The 25,982-nt window shown below is 48.4% G+C and overlaps 2 pseudogenes, besides 1 other annotated feature; both read right to left on the bottom strand.

Annotated features, from left to right (window-relative positions):
• The window catches only part of LOC100130459 (serine/arginine-rich splicing factor RSZ22A-like), a 21,399-nt pseudogene extending 13,951 nt beyond the window's left edge, over positions 1-7,448 (bottom strand).
• Positions 7,027-7,136: a silencer, noted in NCBI's record as "silent region_15213". NCBI's record gives its function as "represses an Ori minimal core promoter by ATAC-STARR-seq in GM12878 lymphoblastoid cells {active_cell/tissue: GM12878}" and the evidence as "EXISTENCE:reporter gene assay evidence [ECO:0000049][PMID:35858748]".
• VPS51P13 (VPS51 pseudogene 13) lies at positions 17,302-17,661 on the bottom strand (annotated as a pseudogene).

The following is a 25,982-nucleotide window of genomic DNA, read 5'->3' on the forward strand; positions in this document are numbered from 1 at the left end:
TGAGCTTGGGAGGTCAAGGCTGCAGTGAGCCAAGATCACACCCCTGCACTACAGCCTGGGCAATAGAATGAGATTGTCTCAAAAAAAAAAAAAAAAAAAAAAAAAAAAAAGAAAAAGAAAAAGAAAAGAAAAAAGTTGAATTCACAGAAGCAGAGTAGAATGATGGTTGCCAGGGTGGGGAAGTGGGCAGATGCCAAAGGACACAGAATGTCATTTAGAAGAATAAGTTCAGGAGATCCATGGGACAACATGGTACCTACAGTTAATAACAACATATCATACACTTGGAAATCACTAGAGTAGATTTTTTAAGTGTTCTCACCACAAAAAAATAAGTCTGGGAGGTGATATGTTATTTAGCTTGATTTAGCCATTTCGTAATGTATACATACTTCAATCACATCATGTTATATACCCTCTTGTACATAATTTTTGTCAATTCAATAAATTCAACAACTCCAAAAAACATGACATTCTCTTTACAAAAATAATTAAAAATAAAATTCAGAATTCTATTGTATTTATTTATTTATTTTTGAAACAGAGTCTCGCTCTGTCACCCAGGCTGGCTGAAGTGCAGTGGTGCGATCTCAGCTGACTGCAACCTCTCTCTCCCAGTTTGAAACGATTCTCCTGCCGCAGCCTCCCAAGTAGCTGGGATTAGAGGTGTGTGCCATCACACCTGGCTAATTTCTGTATTTTTAGTAGAGACAGTTTCGCCATGTTGGCCAGGCTGGTCTCGAACTCCTGACCTTAGGTGATCTTCCAGCCTCGACCTGCCAAAGTGCTGGGATTACAAGTGTGAGCCACTGTGCCTGGACAGAATATAAAAGATTGTTTAATTCAACTAAAACATTAAAACATAGATTATTTCTATAAGTGGTAATTGTTATAGCATGTTTTGGTCAAAATAGTCTCCTTACCCATCCACAATTAAATGGTTAATTGACATCTGATTGGATTTTGATAAAGTTTTCAAATCATGACTGACTTTTCCAATGTACGGTAAAATGTGTTTGAAAATATTTCATAAAAATTAATATTTAAAAATGGTCAGGCATGGTGGCTCATGCCTGTAATCCCAGCACTTTGGGAGGCCAAGGTGGGCCGATCACTTGAGGTCAGGAGTTTCAGACTAGCCTGGCCAAACCTCATCTCTACTAAAAATACGAAAGTTAGTCGGGCATGGTGGCATGCACCTGCATTCCCAGCTACTTGGGAGGCTGAGGCAGGAGAATTGCTTGAACCTGGGAGGTGGGTTCCCCAGGCTTAGAGCAAAACCCCCATCCTGTCTGTCTCCACTCTCATCCCAGGCAATCGCAGTCATTTCCATAGCCTCAACCACTGTCTACCCGGGATGCCTCCCAAGACAGGGTCTCCAGCCCAAACTTGGCTTCCTAGCCCCAGACCCATCTGTCCTGGCACACGTTGCCCCCTGGGTCCCAAGCAACCTCAGCCAATGAGTCCAACGTCAACTTCCTATCCTTGCCTGACACTGTCAGCCCTGAGATCAGACTTGACCATTCACCTCCAGTACCTGATAGGTCCATCAGTCCTTTGGAACATATCCCACGAACATTCCCCAAACCAGGCACCGGACTCTACACATCAACATCGTCATGTGAGTCACCAGCATCACTGGCAGGGACCACTGACCCAGCCTCCAACTCATCTCCTTCCTGTCCCTTGAGTTCTGTGTCACATTCTAGAGGCCACAAGAAGAAAAATGACCACCTTAATGAAATTAAAAGAATTGAGAAGACATTTCCCTATGGTCCAAAGTCTTTCCAACTGAGAAACACATATCAAGATCCAGCCTGCCAGCCCTGAGGTTAAATGTTCCTGAAATAATTAAAGCCCAGGGCAACACAGCCCCCACTCCACAAGTACTCCCAGCACAGTAAGACTTGCTTCTCTGGAGGGGCTTGAAATGTCCAGTGCATACCCTGCCCCTCTCTGTCGTAGCTAACAGGAATGTGCTCCGTGTCTTCTTCCTGTTCAAAGGACCGTCCACCAACCTGCGCAGGCAGCACTTTCGGCTGGGCGGGGATGCGAGAACTTCCCACCATTTCCCACTTATGCACTGCATTCCTCAGGAGACTGCCTCACAAATTACAAGAGCGCCACGGCAGACACACCACGTTCCAGCGGGTGGCCATGTCTTCATGTCAGCTTGAAAGATCATCGCCAGGGAAATATCTATATCTCGGCAGAGAGAGCTTCAGCCTGTGTAGTCCAGCTGTGCTCAAATGGAAATCCAGAAACCCAGATGTTGGTCCAAACACCCTGTCTTGGACAGCTGGCTCTTCATGTCCCCAGCATGGGAGTGAACTGGGTGGCCACCTGCCCTGCCTGCCCACATCCCTGCTTCCTGGAATCCTGGACACTGAGAACCAGGGGGATGTGGTGGGGAACAGGCAAGTCTTGTGCAGAAAGCCAAGATGCCACCCAAATCCACTCTGCAGTCTAGGTGGGTGATATTCTGGTCTGCACCACACCAGTGCATGAGGGGATGCAGGATGGAGTCTAGACAAGCCAAATGTAAAAAGATATTGCCCAAGTATTTTGTGCTTTGTCTGTGTTACAATGCTATGCCCAGCCCAGCGTGGTGGCTCACACCTGTGTTCTCAGCACCTTGGGAGGCCGAGGCAGGCGGATCACCTTAGGTCAGGAGTTTGAGATCAGCCTGGCCAATGTGGTGAAACCCCATCTCTACTAAGAATACAAAAATTAGCCGGGTGTGGTGGTGGGCACCTGTAATCCCAGCTACTCGGGAGGCTGAGGCAGGAGAATCACTTCAGCCCAGGAGGTGGAGGTTGCAGTGAGCGGAGATCTTGCCACTGCACTCCAGCCTGGGCAACAGAGTAAGACTCTGTCTTAAAAAAAAAAAAATGCTATGCCCAGCATTTTTCATGTACTGTCTTATTATCTCAGTAAATCCCATATAATCTTCCTATGAAAGTGTATCTCATTTATCTCCATTTTATAGATGAGAAACCTGAGGCCCCTGGAGTAGTATTAATTGTCCAAGACTGCATTGCTGATAAAGGGTATAGCAGGGACCTAAGCTCGACACTCTCACCCTCAAACATTTCCACAAGTGTAGACCAATGGCTCTCAACTGGGGTGGTTTTGCTCACGTACCACTCCCTTGCTCCATGGCATTTGAAACCGTCTGGAGACATCTGGGGTAGCCATAGCTGGGAGGGTAGAATGGCACCTAGAGGATGGAGACCAGAGATGCTGCTAACCATCCTACAAAACACGGGATGGCCCCAACACCAGCACCACGAATGGTCTGACCCCAAGTGTTGTGACTGTGGCAAAGCTGAGAAACCCAGGTTTCTCCTCAGCAAGAAGGAAAATCCCTGCAACGTTGATGCACCTCTACAGGAGCCCCAGGCTGACAATAACCTTCCTCATCTGGTTTCAACCCTGGATGCTTTTACCTGGTGCGTCCATCAGGGATTTCAGGGACTCCAACGAATTATTACCCTTGAATGCTCGGTTCAGCCTGACAACCCAGAAATCTCTGCCTAGGTGCCTGGTCTTGAGGAAGGCTCAGCAAGTGGTTGAGGTTGATAACCAAATACCTAGGAGGGACTTTTCTCTCCCTCCAGGAGGAGCTGTGGGTCAGACACCCTGGGATCATTCACAAGGGGTCAATAAAGGCTTGGGGAGGGCCAAGTTTTCTAGGCCTTCTCAGAGGGGCGGGTGTTTATGGATACACAAGAAGCCTGTGAAACTTCTGATATTGGCAGGAAACCAATGCCCCCCACCCTCCACCCCCAAAACGTCCCCACCATAAACACTTGCCCTGCAACAGGACTTGGCACTCAGGGGCTCCTGGGGGCCCGATTTATCTGCTAAAACATCCTCTAGCCACCAACGAATAAAGCAACCCCTTGCCACCCAACCACAAGAGCACAGCCTGGGAGCCACTCCAAGGGACATCCAGTCACATTAAAACCTCAGCCATCCAGAGCACCAGGCCTGGTGATGAGAAAGAACATTTTATCCTTAAAAGCATCTGAATGCCCATGCTGCTTCTTGCAGAGAACAGTCCAAAATAATCTGCTATTAAAGAACGAGGATGGTTTTGACATTTTTACCAAGCTAATGGTCTACGCAGACAAAATCTCATAAAAGGGCACTCTGTTCTTCTTGATCCACTCAGACATGGCCTGTGAGTGAAGAAATGGGCTCTCTTCCTCAAAGAAATCACTGCTGATCCTCGTACCAGCCTGACACTGCTTCATGGGTTCTTCAAACAGAGTATTCCCATAGAAACTAAAAAGGAAGAGGAATGTGTCTGGCGGGCATTGTGGGCAGCAGTGGGCTTTGGGCCAAATTTTAAGTTTGAAAACCAAGATTCCCTCTTTTCGAGGGGCCGCCGGACTGAGCAGATACAGACACCGTGAAAAGAGGGTGCCATGTTCAGATTCAGGAAACAAGGATGGTTTCTGTTCAGTTCCTCCATCATCCTTCAGGTCATGCGATTCCCATTTCCCTCTGTGGACCAAACAATTCAGTGGGGTTTCTGCCTTTTAAATATTTCGTTATCAACATATCATCCTTTTAGCCTCCAGAAGCATTTTAACATGGAGATTCTGGCTTAAGACTCTTGTGGGTCTGTCTCTCTCTCTCTCTCTCTCTTTTCCTTGAAACAGCGTCTTACTTTGTCACCCAGGCTGGAGGGCAGTGGCATGATCACAGCTCACTGCAGCCCGACTTTCCAGGCTCTAGCAATCCTCCCACCTCAGCCTCCAAAGTACTTGGGACTACAGGTACATACACCACCATACCAGGCTTTTTTTTTTTTTTTTTTTTTTGGTAGATATGAGGCTTCACCTCGTTGCCCAGGCTGGTCTTAAACTCCTGGGCTCAAGCGATCCCCGCCTTCCCCCTCTCAAAGTGCTGGGATTATTTGCTTGAGCCACCACGCCCGGCCAAGGACCTTGTCTCTTGTGATGCACCCCAGAACAAAACATCACTGCAAAAACACACCAAGGCATGAGTTTCAGTCCTAAGTCCCATTTATCCACCATACACTATGTGCCAGGCACAACGCTAAGTGCTTCTATGGACGAGCTTCCCTTAATCTCAGCAGTAACAACCCCAGGCAATGGGGCCTGTTGACCGATCCATTTGCCACTGAAGACAGTAAGGCTCAGAGAGGGTAATTGGCTTGTGCCATGTCAGCCAGCTAAGGAGGGGCAGAACCAGGACGCGAACCCCAGACACCTGGCTCCAGACTCGCGTTCCCAAGGTCCCACTACCTTTTGTCAATCCACTGCATTCTAGTATCCTGGTCTTTGGCAGAGTCCACGTAAAAGAAGGAGGTAGAGGGAGTGAGAGGTACTTCACGCAATAAAGTTTCCTGGTGTTACACTGCCACCGTAATTGTGTCCCCGACCAGGACCTCTCCCTTCTCATCCTTTCCGTGATAGGCCCTAGAAAACCTTCCAGAGAACTGTCCTCCTTCTCCCGGGATCTCAGAGAAAATTCACCTGAGTTCAGTGTCCAGGTGACCCAAGCTCTGAATGCAGTAACGTGCACGGGGAGATGAGGATGTCACCATGAGCAACCCCAAGACTGGGCAGGGGGGGCTCTGATGCAGCCCACGGCGAGGAGGGCTGCCCGTGCTGCCTAAATGGGTTCAGAAAGAAAGCCGCCCTCTCGCCCATGTGGGGTTCATTAACCACGAATCCAATTATTCGGACAAGCTCAGCTAAGTAAATGGTCAAACATAAAAACATATGGAAGGAAAAAAGAAGTCAACCCCATTATCCATCAAAAACCATCAAGGTGGCGGCCCTCACTGAGGGGTACAGCTCTCCAGCGGGCCCTCATCTGCCCTCCAAACCCACGTGCCTCCCCAGTGGAAGGCCAGCAAAACCACGCTGGAAGAGTTGGGGTAGGAAAGCAGAAAGAGAACCCCAGGAGGCCAGGCTGGCCACGGAGCCCCATCCCACACACACAGGCCCGGTGGCTCAGGGGCCCAGGTGTGCAGGACACCGGGAGCTCATAGGGACAGCGCCCCGCGGGATGCAAGGAACTATGCCTCTCTGGCCCTCTCTGTAGGGATGGAAAGAGAAGAGCGATTTCTGGGATGGAAGCCATCTGCCTCCTCTCAACTCTCGCTGCCCAACCAGAAAGGGAAGAAAAACAGGAAGATGCGGGACAGGTGAGGAGCTGGGTGAGCGCCGCCAGCCCGCAGCCCAGCAGAGCAGGGCTTGGCCAAGCCTGGCGCCAGGGACTTCCCCCCTGCCCCCACCACAGGCCCCTCGCCAGGTGAGAGGCACCGACAGAGTCCCAGACAGATGCCCCAGACAGGATGCCCAGGGCAACCCCCGCCCCTTCCCCTGCTGGGGGCCCCCAGGACGCGCCCCCCCCTCCCATTTTGGCTAGCCGCAGAGTCCAGCGGGTCTCTGGGACGGCGTGGGAGAATCAGGAAGTCGAAGCCACACAGCCAAGAAGGGGCAGCTGGCGTCTCGGAGGCCGTCACGAGCTGTCACTCCGCGCCCGCCGGAGTTGCCGCTCAGTTACCAACTTCAACCCGGAGCCGGCTACGGAGCCTCCCGCCGCCCCTACCCCGCGTCCCCATCACCCCCGCGCCCCCGGCACCCCCGGACCCCCGCGCCCGCGTCACTTACTCCTCTGCCGTCGCCACCTGTCTGGGTGCCGGTCTCCTCCCTGCCCGGCCGCGGCGCGTCCTCCCCGTCCTCGCAGTCGCCGGGCTGTGCGCTTCCCCCCTCCAGCAACAGCCGCAGCCTCTTCTCCTCGGGAGGGACGTCGTCCTCCTCCCTCCTGGGAGGGCCATCCCTGCCTCGGGGCTTGCCAGTGGTTTCGGAGCTGCGGGAAGGGCTGGCAGTGGCTCCGGGGGCTCTGCCTGCACTTGGGGAAGAGGAAGGACCTGTCGCGAGCGGCCTCTCGGCGGAGCTGGGGCGTCTGAGCGCGGGCTCGGTGGGTGCGCGCGGCGCGGAGCTGGGCATCGGCGCCGGCGCGGGCTCCTCCGCGGGCCGCTCCTCGCTCTCTGGCGCCCTCTGCTGGCCTGGCGCGCACCGCGGACACGCAAGGCCCGGGCCTGCGCCGCGCTCACCTGTCCCGGCCCAGGTGCTCGCTGTCCCTTGCCCGTGGCCAGGCCCGCTCTGGCCAGGCCCTGCACCTCCTCCCTGCCCCAGCCAGTTTGCACCCCGATGGTCTCCCTGCCCAAGGAGGAGAGAAGAGAAGGGAAGCCCCGAGAGGGTGGACATCGGCCACAGCCACCTTGTCTTTGCTCTTACCCTGTGTCTTGCATGATTTGGAGGTGGTGGGAAACCCGAGGTTGCTCAAAACTCGTGGAGAATTCCGCCTGCAGGATGACATGAATGCACCTTCGCATTGCCTACCAACAGATCTTTTCTGAGCATCACTGTGGACCAGGCGTGGTGATAGGGGAGGGGACATTGTGGTGAACATGACAGGCATGGCCTTCACCCCGTGGGGCTCAGCGCTGGGTCAGAAGGCATTGAGAATGGACATTGTCAATTGGGCCAAAGGAGGCCAAGGAGAAGAGCGGGGGGCATGGGAACTGAGAAAGACAGGAGGCTCAGCAGGTCTTGGAGCTGGGAGAGGGACAGCAGCAGCGGCTGTTCCAAAGGAAGCAACAGCTGAGAGAGGTCTCAGAGAGTTGTTCTCAGCCCAGTGGAGCATGTTCGGGCAGAGGGAACAGCGTGTGCAAAAGCCCAGAGGCTGGGAAAGAAGCAGAAAGAGGACTGTGGGGCTGGAGCGTGGAGGGCGAGGGGTGAGAGGTGTGGTGGGCAGAGAGATTGCCTGGGAGCCAGCAGTGCAGGGACAAAGGAGATAGGGGATCCTTGCAGGCCCCCAGCCAGGTCTCAGGCACAGAGATAATGCAGGTGGGCAAAGAGAGGAAATGTGGAGAAATATTTTGGAGGCATGCCCTAATGAATGAGCCCACAATGCACTCTTAGTGTCAGTGTGCAGCTCCTTCCTTGGCTGTGTGATCAGCTGAACCCGGGGGTATTTTCTGGACATGGAGGTGCTACACCAAGAGTCCAGGACAGGCTAAGTGAGTACCAGCAGCTCCTGGCCTACCTCAAAAGCAGGAGAGACAGGGGAGACTGGGGAGGCCGGGGAGGAAGGGGAAGCCAGGAAGGCAGGAGAGGCCAGGGAAGCAGAGGAGGCCAGGGAGGCAGTGGAAGCAGGAGAGGCTGGGGAGGCTGTGTCCTTTCCATGATTCTGCCCGGGATCTTAGGCCCCTGAACTCCCTGAGCTTCTCCACCCCAAGCGCTGGAACCATGTTGCACAACGGTCTCTCCACTAAGCTCCTGATGGCGGCCCCTACCCTGCTGTGCTCCCTATTTCAACCCTAAAAGCTCTCACAGTGGGCAGCACATAGTAGGTGCTCAGGAAACACTGGTGGGAGAGCACATGGGTCTGCTCAGCACCTTCCTCTCTCCTCCAGCTCTCCCCTGCTACGAAATAATTCTGATAACGACACATGGGCTTTGAGACCCTCTTCTATTACTTTCCATATGCTAATCCATCTATACTTCACAGCAGCCCTGGGGGTGGGTGCTATTAGGATGTCCATTTTACAGAGGAGAGACTGAGGTATAAAGAGGGTAATGACATAGGCACAGTACAGAGGCCGGGGCCAAGTGATCGCAGCACTCAATCCCCAAAGGCAATGTGGACGCAGTTACCATAAAAGACAGCAGAGTCAAAGCTGCAACCAGAATAGCCTGACTCGCAGAGAACTATGGTGCCAGCTGATCGTGGCATTCCTAGAAGTGAAATAGATAAGAAGCCTGCCACATTTTTACTTGATCTGTGTTTGCAGAAGTGTTCTAGGTCAGGTGAGTAGAAGTCTAATCTGAATCATAATAACAGAGTCACAGTCCTCAGTCAATTCCCAGACATAAGCCAGTTCACAGACCCGGAGTCCCTTGTCTGAATGGGAAGCCAGGTCCCCTCCAGAAAGGACTCTGCTCCACTGCCAAAAATTTATACTGTCAATTTTTCTCCCAGCCTGCCCCCGAAGGAATACACAGCCTTTTACCAGGATGACTGAACAGGGGAAAAGGAACTGATGAGATCTGTGCAGGATCACTGGACACAGGCTCTGAACTGGCACTAGGGCGAGACTAGGGTCTACCAGTCAGAATAGGCATTTTGGAGGTCAGGTGAATGTTGATGAAAGTTCATGTCATGATAGATCCATTGAGTCCCCAAATCCATCCTCTGGTTATATACAAAGTGGCTTTGCTGAGATTCAAATTCAGGGCATCCAACATAGAGGCTGTGCTCTTACTCATGAAACATTCTGACACTAGTAACCAATTTAAAAATGCAAACACCTCCTGGGGCTAGCCAGAGTCCTCCAAACAGTCACGTAAATTGGTTCTGTCAAGGATTTCCTCCTACACCCTGCTGAGAGCCAGTTGCAAGGAGAGGCTAGGGAAGGGCATTGGGTAACTTTGTTTCTAAAAGCTCTTTTGGATGAAGACGTTTGGGAAAAGAAGCAAATAGAGTCCAGCAGAAGAGGTAAGAAAGTAAGTTTATGTTTGGCCAGGCACGGTGGCTCACACCTGTAATCCCAGGACTTTGGGAGGCCGAGGTGGGCAGATCACGAGGTCAAGAGATCGGACCATCCTGGCTAACATGGTGAAGCCCCGTCTCTACTAAAAATTCAAAAATGAGCGGACCAAGATGGCACACGCCTGTAGTCCCAGGTCCCAGCTACTCGGGAGCCTGAGGCAGGAGAATCACTTGAACCCAGGAGTCAGAGGTTGCAGTGGGCCGAGATCATGCCACTGCATTCCAGCCCGGCGACAGAACGAGACTCTGTCTCATAAAACAAACCAAGACAAACAAACAAACAAAAAAGCAAGCTTATTTTTAAGCCTCAAGAAGTGTAGTGGTTTAGGGGTTCTGCAAATACGGCCCCAATCAGACTACAAGATGTTGTGGCAGCAACACTTACACCCAGTCACTCCTGGCTGGCTGAACCACTTTTCAAAACACCCTTGCACAGCTGTGCAGAGCGCCTGGCACCACTGGCAGCCGGCAGAGCCATAACTCACACTGTCACCACTCCCCTCAAACCCTTTCAGTAAGCACATTCTTTATTTTTTTTTTTTTGAGACGGAGTCTTGCTCTGTCATCCAGGCTGGAGTGCAGTGGCGCAATCTTGGCTCACTGCAAGCTCCGCCTCCCAGGTTCATGCCGTTCTCCTGCCTCAGCCTCCCAAGTAGCTGGGACTACAGGCGCCCGCCACCATGCCCGGCTAATTTTTTGTATTTTTAGTAGAGACGGGGTTTCACCGTGTCAGCCAGGATGGCCTCAATTTCCTGACCTTGTGATCTGCCCGCCTTGGCCTCCCAAAGTGCTGGGATTACAGGCGTGAGCCACCGCGCCCGGCCTGGTAAGCACTTTTAATCAATGCAACAGGAATAAACATTTGCTGCAGAGCGGCCATGTGCAGGGAGGAACACGGTTCCACTCAGGCTCAGAAAGCAAAACCTCCTGGCTGTTTGCATCTGTGCGAGAGCTTGCAGGAAAAGCCCTCTGTGTGGCTGCCAGCCTCACACACTCCCCCGAAGGGATGAGTTTCTCTTTCCATGTTAATCTATGCCCTGACGTGCCATCTGTCAACCACCATACCATTCTCAGTTGACCTTTCAAAGCATCTTTGCCCTTTGGTCACCAGCCCTGCCCTGCAAGCCCCCAGGTGACATTGAACTTAAACGAGAGAGAAAACAGGTTTCGGGGTGGATTTCAGTTCAGCATCTTGGAATCTCTGTGTGGACATGAAATCTGTCTCCCCAGCCATGGGCTGCATCCTTGTTTGTCATCTGGTTTTGTTCTTGGGGACTTGGAAACTCGTGGGCACATTTGCAATTTGTCAAGAAGCTGCACGGCCCTTCCAACAAAAGCAAGCAATAGGAACAGAAGCCCAAGGCTTCAGATCAAGGTGCGACTTAAAGCAGCCTCAGTGTAAAAGCAAACAGGAGTCAGAGGGATGCCTAAGGCGGAGTCTAGTCTCCAGGGCAGCTATAAGGCAAAGAGAAAGAGAGAGAGATAGACAGAGACAGACACAGAGACAGAAAGACAGAGAGAGATGGGAGGAGACATGAGGCACCCAGGCCTCTGCATCAAAATCCCTACAAGAGGGGCTTCCTAAAAATGCAGGAGGCTGAGGTGGGCGCAAACAGAAGTTCAAGACTAGCTTGGGCAACATAGCAAGACCCTGTCTTTACAAAAAATACAAAAATCAGCCAGGTGTGGTGGTGCATGCCTGTGGTCCCAGCTACCCAGGAGGCTGAGGTGAGAGGATGGCTTGAGCCCAGGAGGTAGAGGCTGCTGTGAACAGAGATAGCACCACTGCTCTCCAGCCTGAGCCACAGGTGAGACTTCATCTCAAAAAAATTTAAAAAAAATTTTTAAAAAGGATCACTCTGGCTATTTGAATGGATGATAAGAAGGTAAGAGCAGAAGCAAGGAGACCAGCAGTGAGATTCTGCAGGCGGGAGTCCACAGTGGCTCAGACCAGGCTGGCACTGAAGACCTGCTAGATTCTATATATATTTTGATGATGAAGCAACTCACTGACTCTTGAAGAGTGGACTCTAGGAGACTGTATTTTTAACAAGCTCTCAGAGGATTCTAATGCAGGTTGAAGTTGAAGAACTCCTGATTTAGGTGAAGCTTCTGTTTCATCCTAGGGGAAGTACGAACTGACTTTTCTCCAAGCCACCTCAAAAGAGGCGCTAGACAAGATGTGCTCCAATGTCTGAACATGTGTGCACAGCTCTAGAGCCGACCTCAGGACACTCAGTCAAAGGTTAGGAGTACAACAGTGAACAACCACCATCCTCTTTTCAATGATCTTTGCATTTAATGAGAGAAATAAAAAGCAAAAAGAAAAATCATTTTCAACTCAGAATGGTAGGAGTTATGGTGACAGTATGCCTGGGGCAATGGGAGCACAAAGAAGGGGCACCCAATCGGCCAGGTGCAGTTGTTCATGCCTGTAATCCCAGCACTTTGGGAGGCCAAGGTAGGTGGATCACTTGAGGCCAGGAGTTCGAAAACAGCGTGGCCAACATGGTGAAATCCTGTCTTTACTAAAAATACAAAAAGATTAGCCGGGTGTTGTGGCGGGCACCTGTAATTCCAGATACTCAGAAGGCTGAGGTGGGAGAATTGCTTGAACCCGGGAGGCGGAGATTGCAGTGAGCCAAGATCGTGCCACTGCACTCCAGGCTGGATGGCCAGAGTGAGACTCCGTCAAAAAAAAAAAAAAAAGCCAGGAGATGGGTGGGCATGCAATCTCTATCAGGTGGTGAGAAATCCTTCTCCACTACAGGACTCCTCAGTTGAAGACTAGAAAATGGTAGGGATTAGCCAGATCGATAGGAGAGGTGTGGAAGATCATTCCCAGCAGAGGGAAGAGCATGTGCAAAAATCGAGACATGAGAGGGTGAGAAGCTGAGAGATGTTCATATAATTGTAAAAAGTGACTAATGTAGAGGTAAGTTGGAGCCAAATCTTAAAGGCTCTTTGTCGTGTTTATCCTGTAGACAAAGGGAGACAGTAGATGTTTTTATGCAGGGGAGTAATGATCCACTTTGTGCTATAAAAAGAGCAGCCTGGCTGGAGGAGAGTGGGACGTGAGTAGACCAGGTAGGAAGTTGCAATACACCAAGTGAGACAGGATGGTTGGCTGGACCAAGGCTGTGGCAGTGAGGATGGAGAGGAGACAGTAGACTAACTTGACTGAGAGAGAGGGAGGAATGAAGAATGAGGCCCAGGTGTTTTGGAAGCTGGGTGAATGGTGGTGTGAATCTGACGTGGTGAGCCCTGGCAGAAGAGGAAATCAGGAGAGGAAAGGTAAGATGAGGTCAATGCAAGACAGACAGCCAAGTGGAGATAACAACTGGGCAGTCGGATTCATCAGCCTGGAGTTATACAGAGAGCTCTGGAATGGAAATAAAGAGGAAAGGACTTTGGGAATAGGTGAATCCTCCCAGAATAATGTGTAGAGAAAGGAGAATAGAACACAGGGGACAGAAAAAGGGAAGCGATTTGTTATTAAAACCAAACATCCATCAGACATCTTCCAATACAACACTTGTTAGAGGTTTCCTCAGTGTGAGTTATTCAGGACCAGAGCTAAAGACCATATTCCCAATAAAATCACTGCTGGGAAGGTCTTCATGAAAACATTTAATGCTGCTTTTAAAACAACAACAACAACAACAAAAAAAAGGCTTTAGCTACTGCACAGACCCTGGAGCAATTTTTCGGCAAGAGTCTATCAAACACAAATCTGATCTGACTCAAGGAGGTGTCATATCAAGTGTAAAAATCCAATTCCAATGTCCATAAGAGCCTTTCTGCCAGGTACAAGACCCTAATCCAGTTGAGTGATTTTCTATTGATTAATAGGCTGGGAATACACAGGTTGTTGGTTTTTGAGATTTCCCTCCCTGTGCCTTCATGCCAGCTGTGAAAGAGTCAAAAGCCTCCTAACTGTCAAAATAAAAATGACACTTGGTCACAGAGGAAACAGATTATAGGTCAATCACATTGATGACTTTTTAACTATGAGAAGCCATTAATGTTACTGAATAAGCAAATCTGTTTGCATAACCAGATTTTTATAGGCTACTGGGAATAAAGGTTTTCCTAAGTGGGTGATTAGTACAACGATAGCATTTGGGTCTCTGATGGAACAGCTCTGATGAGGAAATGTTCCTTTAATTATGTGGAAGGCCAATTACCACGTTTAGCCACATTGTTTTGCAGATTGCGTATAATTTCACCATTTCCATAGCTTCAGCACTATAATTCTGGAGAAAATTCAGGCACCAAGGAGACACTTGAGGCACATTATGCTGGAAACAAAGACGTTTTAGCAAATTCAATTTAAGCTTCAACATTAAAGTTATTTTGTTGAATAAAACATAATGCAATAATGAGCTTGTGTATGTCAACTGTATAGTGGAGGTAATAATAGCTAGAGAGAGCATGTCCCGTCTCTTCTTTTTAATGCTCATTCGAGTAATACATAATGCTATAGAGAGAACCTTTCTCTAATATGTGCTTTATCTCAGGCTAAGCGTGTTTTGTGCAACTGTGCTTCAAGAAAAAAAAAAGGTAAAGGATCTAATTTGGGAGCCATTCACAATAGTGCTACCACTTGCTTTTTTTTTTTTTTTTTTTTTTTGAGACGGAGTCTCGTTCTGTCGCCCAGGCGGGAGTGCTGTGACGCGATCTCCGCTCACTGCAAGCTCCGCCTTCCGGGTTCACACCATTCTCCTGCCTCAGCCTCCCGAGTAGCTGGGACTACAGGCGCCCGCCACTGCGTCCAGCTAATTTTTTGTATTTTTAGTAGAGACGGGGTTTCACCGTGGTCTCGATCTCCTGACCTCGTGATCCGCCCGCCTCGGCCTCCCAAAGTGCTGGGATTACAGGCGTGAGCCACCACGCCCAGCCCACTTGCTTTTTTTTATACTCTGAGATTTCTTATTCCCAGTGCCTACCAGGAATAGACTTTCTGGAGAAGCTCAGATTAATCACTCCTTATGAGAGGTGAAAGCGTGCTGGCAGCCCTCACAGCCCTCGCTCACTCTCGGCACCTCCTCTGCCTGGGGTCCCACTTTGGTGGCACTAGAGGAGCCCTTCAGCCCACAGCTGCATGGTGGGAGCCCCTTTCTGGGCTGGCCAAGGTAGGAGCTGGCTCCCTCAGCTTGCAGGGAGGTGTGGAAGGAGAGACATGAGCCAGAACCGGGGCTATGTGTGCTGCTTGCCTGCCTGCTGGAGTTCTGGGTGGGCATGGGCTTGGCAGCCCCTCGCTAGGAGCTGCCGGGCCGGCCTTGCCAGCCCAGGCAGTGAGGGGCTTAGCACCTGGGCCAGCAGCTGCTGTGCTCGACTTCTCACCAGGCCTTAGCTGCCTCCCCGTGTGCCAGGGCTTGGGACCTGCAGCCCACCATTCCTTAGCCTTCCTGCTCCATGGGCTCCTGAGTGGCCCAAGCCCCCCCGACGAGCACCGCCCCCTGCTCCACGGCACCCAGTCCCATCAACCACCCAAGGGCTGAGGAGTGTGGGCGCACGGAGAGGGACTGGCAGGCAGCTCCACCTGCGGCTCCTGTGTGGGATCCACTGGGTGAAGCCAGCTGGGCTCCTGAGTCTGGTGGGGACTTGGAGAACATTTATGTCTAGCTAAGGGATTGTAAATACACCAATTGGCACTCTGTATCTAGCTCAAGGTTTGTAAACACACCAATCAGCACCTTGTGTCTAGCTCAGGGTTTGTGAATGCACCAATCGACACTCTGTATCTAGTTACTATGGTGGGGACTTGGAAAACCTTTCTGTGGACACTCTGTATGTAGCTTATCTAGTGGGGACGTGGGGAGCCTTTGTGTCTAGCTCAGGGATTGTAAACGCACCAATCAGCACCCTGTCAAAACAGACCACTCAGGCTCTCTGTAAAATGGACCAATCAGCAGGATGTGGGTGGGGCCAGGTAAGAGAATAAAAGCAGGTTGCCCGAGCCAGCAGTGGCAACCCGCTGGGGTCCCCTTCCACACTGTGGAAGCTTTGTTCTTTTGCTCTTTGCAATAAATCTTGTTGCTGCTCACTGTTTGGGTCCACACTGCCTTTATGAGCTGTAACACTCACTGATAAGGTGTGCAGCTTCACTCCTGAAGCCAGCAAGACCGTGAACCCACTGGGAGACATGAACAACTCCAGACGTGCAGCCTTAAGAGCTGTAACACTCACCATGAAGGTCTGTAGCTTCACTCCTGAGCCAGCGAGACCACGAACCCCACCAGAAGGAAGAAGCTTCGAACACATCCGAACATCAGAAGGAACAAACTCCAGACACACGACCTTTAAGAACTGTAACACTCACCAGGAGGGTCCACGGCTTCATTCTTGAAGTCAGTGAGACCAAGAACCCACCAATTCCAGGCACACTTATACACTTGGCACTGGGAGGTCTGTATGGAGCAAGTGAAGAAATCAGCAGAGTGAAGATAGAGGGAGAACAACATGATGGGGGAAAGGCAAAGTTACTGCCATGTTGGTTTCAATTGTGCCACTCATGAGTGAGACCCATGACCTCCTCTCTCTAGGACTCTGTTGTTCTTATCTGTAGAGTGGAGGAATAGAAGGGCCTTTTAAAGTATTAACATTTCCTGACCTATTTGTAAAACACTTCCATTCAAACTGATGGGAATCTTGACTGCTTTGCCAAGAGGACATAATAATCATCAAGCTGAATGCACCAAACAACATTGCCTGAAACTATCTAAGCAAAAACTGAGAAAGTTACACAGGGCAGACAAACCTCCTATAAGAGTAAGAACTCTTCAGCACATGCTTAGTGTGTCAAAGACAATGCTGTGTTCACACGATTCCTCTTCCTGGACATGCAGAAAGACTACATTTCCCAGCCTCACTTGCAGTTAGTTTGCAACCATGTGACTGCATTTCCACCAATAGGAATGTAAGAAATAACTTCAGGCCAAGGTTATCAAAGACAAGTGTGAGCTATGTTCCCTCTCTTCCTATCCATATGGCTACAAGCAAAAAACTCTGAGATGACAGAATTAAAAGATGGAAACCTCCAGAATCTCTGAATCACTGTTGGACAAGGGCCCCCAAGGAGAACCCCTGCCCTGCACCAGACTATGCTATGGGTGCCAACCCACTGAGAGTTCAGGGTTTATTCATCTCAGCAGCAGTCTATTGTTACACTGACTAATATCCTAAGGTTTGAGAGATCTAGCATATTGTTAATTGAAGCTAGATTTCAATTATACTGAGAAACTTATCTATTTAAAAATAAAAACTCTCCTAAAAAAACAAATAATCCACATTCCTTTTAACAACATGTGGCAAATTTGCAAAAAAAAAAAAAAAAAAAAAAAAAAACTGGCCACATATTAGGCCATAAAGAAGTCTCAACAAAATCCACTATACGATTGACATTGTCCAGACCACATTTTCCTGACCATAATGCAACAAAAGTAGAAGTCAACAGCAAGAAGATAGCTAAACACAAGCATACATTAGGAAAATTAAAAATATCCTTTCATGAGTTAAATGAAAAATCACAATAGAAATTACTAAACATTTACAACTGAATGAAAACACAACTTTATATATATATATGTATTTTTTGTGTGTGAGTCTTCCAACTTTGTTCCTCTTTTACAAGGTTATTTGGGAAATTCTGGGTCTCCTGCAATTCCTCATACAGTTTTATGCTGTTTGTCAATTTCTGTGGCTGGGATGAACTTAACGTAGTTCTCATAGACCAGAATTTGCATGTCTCTGTCTAGAGCCCGGATCTGCTGCACCATGTCTGTCTCACTGTCCATCAGCTGGGCCAGAGGGCACTCTCTAGGCAGCTTGTCTAGGTAAACTTCCGGGTCGAAGTGCTCCCCGTTCAGATCAGTGGGGTCCAGGGGGTCGGGCCCCGCGGGGAGTCCCACGGCCTCCCCTTCCGAAAGGCCGTTGTAAAGCTTTAGCATCCTGTGCGCCTTCCGCCGACGCTCCGTGAGCCTCCACATCGGGCCCATCTGGGGAGTCCCCCGGTCCACACCCTGGGCTAGGCCCTGTGACAGCTGCCGCCGCCATAGCTCCAACTGCAGCCCACGGGCGTAACTTTTTATATTTTTAAGTTGGATACATGGAGCTACTTGGCTTTTGCTTTCATCACATCGTTGAGGAAAGAGGTGGTTGCTTATGGTACCCCTGTTTTTACTGCAACCTGTAATGGATGAGAACCTCCCTGTTGCAGAGAGCAAAACACTGAACTAAATTGTGCTGTAACACAGCCCTGTGTTGGGGGATTGGGAGTAATCATGCAAACGCTTGCAAATTTGCACAGTGACAGAGACAATCGTTTGGACAGCTGTTCACTATATGAAAAGGCAATTGACCAAAAGTCAGTTACTGAGCTATCTCAATACTTTCATTCTATTTTAACTTTTGGCAACAGGGTGCAATTAAAGGAGAGAAAGAAAACAAAGTGATAAGTGTAAGATAATGTACACACATGTGTAAAAGAAAATGACAAGACAGGATGACTATTTGTCTCTTGGTTAGCTCCTTGGGCTCTATGTCTCCTTCCTCAGAGAACCTCGTTTTCCTTTGTCCAGATTTCTTAGGGTGGATAATCCAGGTGCTTGATCCCCCATGATGGAAGCCAAAGACGTCCCTGGAGCCGCCTCCCACTGCACCCTTTACTGCACTGCCCACATGGACACAACTCAGCCGATTAGACTTCCTCTCAGAACTTTAGTCTTGAGCAAAGGAATTAAAGGGTGAAGTGACTGAAGGTATGCCCTTCCAAAGTGGTACGTGAGATAATGGCTAAAGTTTGCCAAGCCCATCCAAGCACATTTTTTCGTAATTTTTATTAATTTATTTTTTTAAAACAGAGTCTTGCTCTGTTGCCCAGGCTGGAGTGCAGTGGTGTGATCTCGGTTCACTGCAACCTCTGTCTCCCGGCTTCAAAGGAGTCTCCTGCCTCAGCCTCCCCAGTGGCTGGGATTACAGCCATACGACAGCATGCCTGACTATTTTTTTTTTTTTTTTTGTATTTTTATTAGAGACAGGGTTTCACCATGTTGGCCAGGCTGGTCTCGAACTTCTGACCTTGTGATTCGCCTGCCTCAGCCTCCCAAAGGACTGGGATTACACGCATGAGCCACCGCGCCCAGCTTCCAAAAGTTTTAAGCAGAGCTCAGAGGTCTTAACCACAGGCACATCAGAAGAGCATTTTCGAAATGCTTTCCAGCTTCCTCAATAGAAATGGAAGCCAAACTCCGAATTGATGACTCCTTTGAGGAAGTCGAGAGCTGTAAGAAAAGCCAGGAACAGGGGCAAGGTAGGGATGCGTCCCGAATGATCCTGTGACAATTCTTTCTGGAATCCTTGATGTGATCTCAGCTGCCCTTTCTATACATGACACAGTCATTGTGGCACCCACTGGTCTAGCTGTGGTCTACAAGGAACCCCCAAAGGGAAGGGCACAGTGAGCAGGGCCATCGGCCTGAGTGATGAGGATTTGAGAGGGCAGGTTGGATGCAGGGAGAGGACTGGCCAAATGCCATAAGTCTGGACTTAGACTGCCTGGTTCAAATTGGACTTCACCCTTTTTGACTTCATGATCTGGTACAAGCTACATGAAACTCCGTTGCGCCTTTTCTAGTCTGTAAAATCATCATGAAATGTGCACTAATAACGTGGAGACTATGCAGATGAAATGAAACCAGCTGCATAGAGCACAGAGCTCAGAGCCTGGCCTTTAGGAAGCCTTCAGTTAAGGGTTCATGATGCCATGGTGTCTGTCGTCATCCTCTTTATCCTCATCATCACCTTCATAATCTCTTTGTTGTTCTTAGGGAATAGTTTAGAGGGACTGATTCCCTTCTATCATAGGTGAGATGTCTATGAAAAGGACAACCAGTGGGGGAGGAAAGAAAAATTTTGAATAAGATTTCTGGGACCCCCAGCACAACCAAGAACAGAAACTCCACAGTCTGCTGAGCACAGAGTTTGCATATTGGTCTCCTCACATCTGCCCAGCGCATTCTCCTGTTTGTCCTGAGGAGGAGAAAACAAACAAGGCTCCCGACCGTCCCTCAGCACTCACTTGAATGTGTGGCCTGCCCCTCCACACCTGTGGGTATTTCTAGTTGGGTGGGACGAGAGACTGAGAAAAGAAATAAGACACAGAGACAAAGTATGGAGAAACAACAATGGACCTAGGGGACCGGCGCTCAGCATACCAAGGATCTGAACCGGTAAAGGCCTCTGAGTTCCCTCAGCTTTTATTGATTATTATTTTTATTATTTTAGCAAAAAGGAATGTAGTAGGAGGGCAGGGTGATAATAAGGAGAAGGTCAGGAACGAACATGTGAGCAATACAATCTAAGTCATAAGGAAGTTCAAGGGAAGTTACTATGACTGGACGTGTCTCTAAGCAAGATTTATGTTTCTCTCCATGCAAACATCTCAGTGGAGTAAAGAATAACAAGGCAGCATTGCTGCAAACATGTCTCACCTCCCGCCATAGGGCGGTTTTTCTAGCATCTCAGAATTCAACAAATGTACAGTGGGGTTTTATACCGAGACATTCAGTTCCCAGGGGCAGGCAGGAGACAGCGGCCTTCCTCTCTCTCAACTGCAAGAGGCTTTCCTCTTTGACTAATCCACCTCAGCACAGACCCTTTACTGGTGTTGGGCTTGGAGACGGTCAGGTCTTTCTCCTCCCACGAGGCCACTTTTCAGACTATCACATGGGGAGAAACCTTGGACAATACACCGCTTTCAAGGGCACGGCTCCCTGAGGCTTTCCACAGTGTATTGTGCCCCTGGTTTATTGAGACTAGAGAATGGCGATGACTTTTACCAAGTATACTGCTTGGAAACATCTTGTAAACAAGGCACGTCCTGCACAGCCCTAGATCCCTTAAACCTTGATTTCATACAACACATGCTTTTGTGAGCTTCAGGTTGGGTCAAAGTGGTTTGTTCAAACTGACTGGGGAAAAGCTACAGATTAACAACATCTCAGCAAAGCAATTGTTGAAAGTACAGGTCTTTTTCAAAATGGAGTCTCTTATGTCTTTCCTTTCTACATAGACACAGTAAGAGTCTGATCGCTCTTTCTTTTGCCTACACTCACTGAACTGCCCTTCCCCTCTGCTGGGCCATGACCATGGACAACAGGTCCACTGTCCTCCCTGCGTGGTGCACCATGGAGGCTCAGACTCCGTCCTCGAGGCTGGCAAGAAGACAGGGTAAGACATGAGCCTCCTGATACAGGTGATGTCTGTGGAGCCCACAGGACTGCAAATTCACACTGCAGGGCTGGAGGCATAGACTGACTATTTACTATTCTGTGCCCTGGGGGTTCAAGGCACAGAGCTCCTCATTAGCCAAAGTCGCCCAAGTTCCCCAACCACGAAGGATTTCCTCATAATAATGCAAGAAAAAGAAGATAAAAGTGAGTGTCCATAGAAGTGTGGGGCTCTTCCTCTAATCAGGAGAAAGCTGATGTGTATTCTTCGCTTCTTTCTTTTCTTTTTAAACATCCAACTGCTTTAATTTTCATCTCTTATTATGGGAAAATATACCACGTATAAATATTAAAAATTATAAATATATATTAGTTCATATAGAATGGCCAGTATAAACATTTACAATTTCCACTCTTTTTCAGTTTGCAGTTTTATGACATTAAGTATTTCACTTTGTTTAGCAACCATCACCGTCATCGTCTCCGGAACAGTTTTATCTTTCAAAATGGAAATTGCACCCATTCACCAAGCTCTCCACTCCTCTCTCTCGCCCGCCCCTGGGGGTCACCTTTCTAGTTTGCAACTCTATGAGTTTAACTACTCTAGACACTTGATAGATAAGTGGAATCATACCGTGTTTAATTTTCTTGTTTTGGAGACAGAGTCTTTCTCTGTCACCCAGGCTGGAGTGCAGTGGCGTGATCTCGGCTCACTGTAACCTCCACATAGTGGTTTCAAGCGATTCTTCTGTCTCAGTCTCTGGAGTAGCTGGGATTACAGGCGTGCGCCACCACGCCCAGCTAATTTTTGTATTTTAAATAGAGACCATATTGGCCAGGCTGGTCTCGAACTCCTGACCTGAAGTGATCCCGCCTGGCTCAGCCTCCCAAAGTGCTGGGGTTACAGGTGCGAGCCACTGAGCCTGGGCGTGTTTATCCTTTTGGGATTCATTTATTTCACTGACGATAATGTTTGCAAGGTTCATCCATATTGCGGCCTGCGTCAGAAGTGCCTCTCTGTTTTTTTTTTTTTTTTGGTTTGTTTTTTGTTTGTTTGTTCGTTTGACTTTGTTTTGTTTTGTGTTTCCATGGAGTCTCACTCTGTCGCACAGGCTGGAGTGCAGCGCCACAATCTGGGCTCACTGCAACCTCCGCCTCCCGGGTTCCAGCGATTCTTGAGCCTCAGCCTCCTGAGTAGTTGGGAGTATAGGTACACGCCACCACGCTCGTCTCATTTTTTGCATTTTCAGTAGAGACAGGGTTTCACCAAGATGGCCAGGCTGGTCTTGAATTCCTGACCTCAGGTGATCCGCCCACCTCGGTCTTCCAAGACGCTGCGATTACAGGCGTGAGCCACCACACCGGCCAGAAGTGCCTGCCTTTTGAAGGCTGAATAGTCTTCCATTGTATGAAGGAACTGCAGTGTTCTTTTTCATTCATCTGTCCACGAACCCTTGGGTTGCTTCCACATTTTGGCTGTTGTGAATAATGCTGCTATGAACATGGGTGTACACAAATCTGTCTTCCACTCTTGGCTTCTAATTCTTTTTGGTAGGTACCCACAAATGAAACTGCGGGAACATCTGATCATTCTGTTTCTAATTTTTCCAGTAGACGCCATACTATTTTCCCCGTTCCTTCATGGTTTTACATTCCCTCCAAACATATTCGAGCATTCTTACTTCCCTCTAGTCTCACTAATGCTTGTTTGTTTATCATATCCATCCTAATGTGTGGTATGACATTCTTGGTTTGATTTGTGCTTCCCTATGACGAGTGACTTTGAACATCATTTTAGATGCTTATTGGCCATTGCTATATCTTCTTTAGGGACACCTCTACTCGAGTCTTCTGACCATTGTTGATGGGATACTTTGGGTTTCTTATTGTTTAGTTCTAGCTATTCTTTATATATGATGGATATCAGCTTCTTTTCAGATATATGCTTTGCAAATCTTTTTCCTAATCCATGGGTTATCTTTTCACTCAGTTCACAGTGTTTTTTTTTGCTGCACAAAAGTGTCTGTCATTTAGATGTAATCCAAGGAATCTAATTTTCTTTTGTTGCCTATGCTTTTGGTGTCATCCCAGAGAATATTGTCCAATCTGATGTCATGAAAGCGTGGCCAATGTTTTCTTTTAGGCGTATGATACTTTTAGCGCTTGGCGTGAGGTCTTTGATCCAGTTTGTGTTAATTTTTGTACCTGGTGTGACAAAGGGTCCACCTTCATTCTTCTGCATGTGGAAATCAAGTTTCTCCAACAACATTTCTTGAAAAGGCTGCTTTTCCACCAATGAGCTTTCTTAGCACTCATGTGAAAAATCATTTGAACATATAGGTGAGAAGTTATTTCTGGGCTCCAACAGAAACAAACAACAACAGACAACAGATAAAGATACAGCATGGGCCGGGCGGGGTCGCTCACGCCTGTAATCCCAGCACTTTGGGAGGCCGAGGCCCGTGGATCACCTGAGGTCAGGAGTTGAAGACCAGCCTGACCGACAGGGAAAAACCCCCATCTCTACTACAAATACAACATTAGCAGGGCGTGCTGGCACATGCCTGTAATCCCAGCTACTCGGGAGGTGGAGGCAGGAGAATCGCTTGAACCCAGGAGGCAGAGGTAGCGTTGAGCCAAGATTGCGCCTTGACACTCCAGCCTGGGCAAAAAGAGCGAAACTCCATCTCAAAACAAAAAACAAAAAACCAGCATGATTTCAAGAGCAAAGCTTAAAAACCAGCATAATGAGAAAGTTAGGAAGCTTCTTACCAAAGCATCTGGAAATATGCAAGCAATTCTTGTGAACTAAAATTTTCATACTGTACTATCAAACACTAGAACTCACTTATTCCATCTTTCTGTATTTTGGGACCCAATTATCCACTTGTCTTCATTCCCTATCCCAGCCCTTTTCTTCCTAGCGTCTGCTGATCACCTTTATACTTTCCATCTTCCTGAGATTCCTTTTGTGTGTAGATGTGTGATGCAGTCTCTTTCTGTTGCCCAGGTTGGAGTACGCAGGCACAATCAGTGCTCACTGCAAGCTCTGCCTCCCGAGTTCAAGCCCTTCTTGGGCCTCAGCCCTCCGAGTAGCTGAGACTACAGGCACGCGTCACCACGCCCGGCTCATTGCTTGTGTTTTCCATAGGGACGGGGTTTCACCATGTTGGCCAGGCGGGTCTCGAGCTCCTGGACTCAAGTGATCCGTGCGACTCGGCCTCCCGGAGTGCTGGGATTACAGGCCTGAGCCACCACACCTGGCAAAGGTGTCCTTCTTTCTTCCTACATAGAAGTGAGGACATGAGGTGGCTCACGCCTGTAATCCCAGCACTTTGGGAGGCCGAGGCGGGCAGATCACAAGGTCAGGAGATCGAGACCATCCAGGCTAACACGGTGAAACCCCGTCTCTACTAAAAATACAAAAAATTAGCCGGGCGTGGTAGCGGGCGCCTGTAGTCCCAGCTACTCGGGAGGCTGAGACAGGAGAATGGCGTGAACCCGGGAGGCGGAGCTTGCAGTGAGCCGAGATCGCGCCACTGCACTCCAGCCTGGGCGACAGAGCGAGACTCCGTCTCAAAAAAAAAAAAAAAAAAAAAAAAAAAAAAAAAAAAGAAGTGAGGCATGAAATATGTGTAATTCTGTGCCTGGCTTATTTCATTTAATATACAGACCTGCAATCTCATCCATTTTGTCTGCAGCGGAGAGGAGTTTCTTCCTTTTTAGGCTGAATAATACTTCACTGGGTGTGTATACCACAGTTTCTTCATTGAAACAAATTTCTGAAGAGTAAATATTTTTAAAATGTCTCGGAATCTGAAACCTCAGGGATACTGTGCCCATTTTATTCTTTTCTATTTCCCATCTTATGTATATGCAAGTGTATAACAAAGCAACAATCAATGTGTGTATAAATCTACAACTTCAACAAATGTAAAATGTAAATGCTGAGTGGTGGCTGGGAGCGGTCGCTCATGCCTGTAATCCCAGCACTTTGGGAGGCGGAAGCGGGCGGATCACCTGAGGTCGGGAGTTCAAGACCAGCCTGACCAAAATGGAGAAACACTGTCTCGATTAACAATACAAAAAAAAAAAAAAATTAGCCAGGCATGGTAGCGCATGCCTGTAATCCCAGCTACTTGGAAGGCTGAGACAGGAGAATTGCTTGAATACGGGAGGCAGAGGTTGCAGTGAGCCGAGACCGTGCCATTGAACTCCAGCCTGGGCAACAAGACGGAAACTCTGACTCAAAAAATAAGGAAAAGAAAGAAATAGAAAATGCGAAATGGTAAGAAAAAACAGCATAATAAACATTTGTATGGTGTTGATGGACAATGCATTTGAAGATAATAATTGAAGAAATCATATTACAATTAATTTCTGTTCTCACTCATTGGAGCTTGATGCCTCTAAAAACTTCGTCATTGGAACCACCTCTGGTGCTTTCAAAGAAAAAAAAAAATCCACATATTCACACAGGTGCAAGGAAATCAGAATCTCAGGTATTGAGACCCAGGCCTCATCATTTGTAACCTCCCCAGGTGAGTTGACTCAAAACCAAGATTGAGAACGGCGACATAGATCTCTCCACATAACCTGCCTAAATAGATTCTCTAGAACCAGTTTATAAAGAAATTCCACATGAACTGTGGAAGAGGATATGAATTTGATGTACAGTATGTCCTCACTTAACATCTTTGAAAGTCTCTTGGAAACTTCACCTTGAAGCAAAATTATGTATAGTGAAACCACTTATTTTTCATCAACAGTGTAACTACACAACTTTGAACAACCAATGGTGTTGGACGACCTCCTGTACATTGTTTCCATAAAGTCAGTTTTCAGGGAATTCCAAAACTAAGTGAGGACTTCATGTATATAAAAAGATGGTTGTGATTTCACCTGGATGGCAGGGTTATTGCTCAGAAACTAAAGGAGGCCACCTAGGTATAGAGGATTCTGTCACGAGGTTTCTGCTAAACAAAGGATCCCAGAATCCTCACCCATTCCAGTGAAAGTCATAACGAAGAAAGCAATATTCACAAAGGAAATGCGGAAAGGAATAAAAGCCATCAAGCCACAAAAATAATGTGACTAAGGGGCAGGATTTGCAGATGTAGAGATTTAATGCGGTTGCCCTTTCTCACC

Source organism: Homo sapiens, chromosome 4 (genome assembly GCF_000001405.40).
Source record: "Homo sapiens chromosome 4, GRCh38.p14 Primary Assembly".
Taxonomy (NCBI): Eukaryota; Metazoa; Chordata; class Mammalia; order Primates; family Hominidae; genus Homo; species Homo sapiens.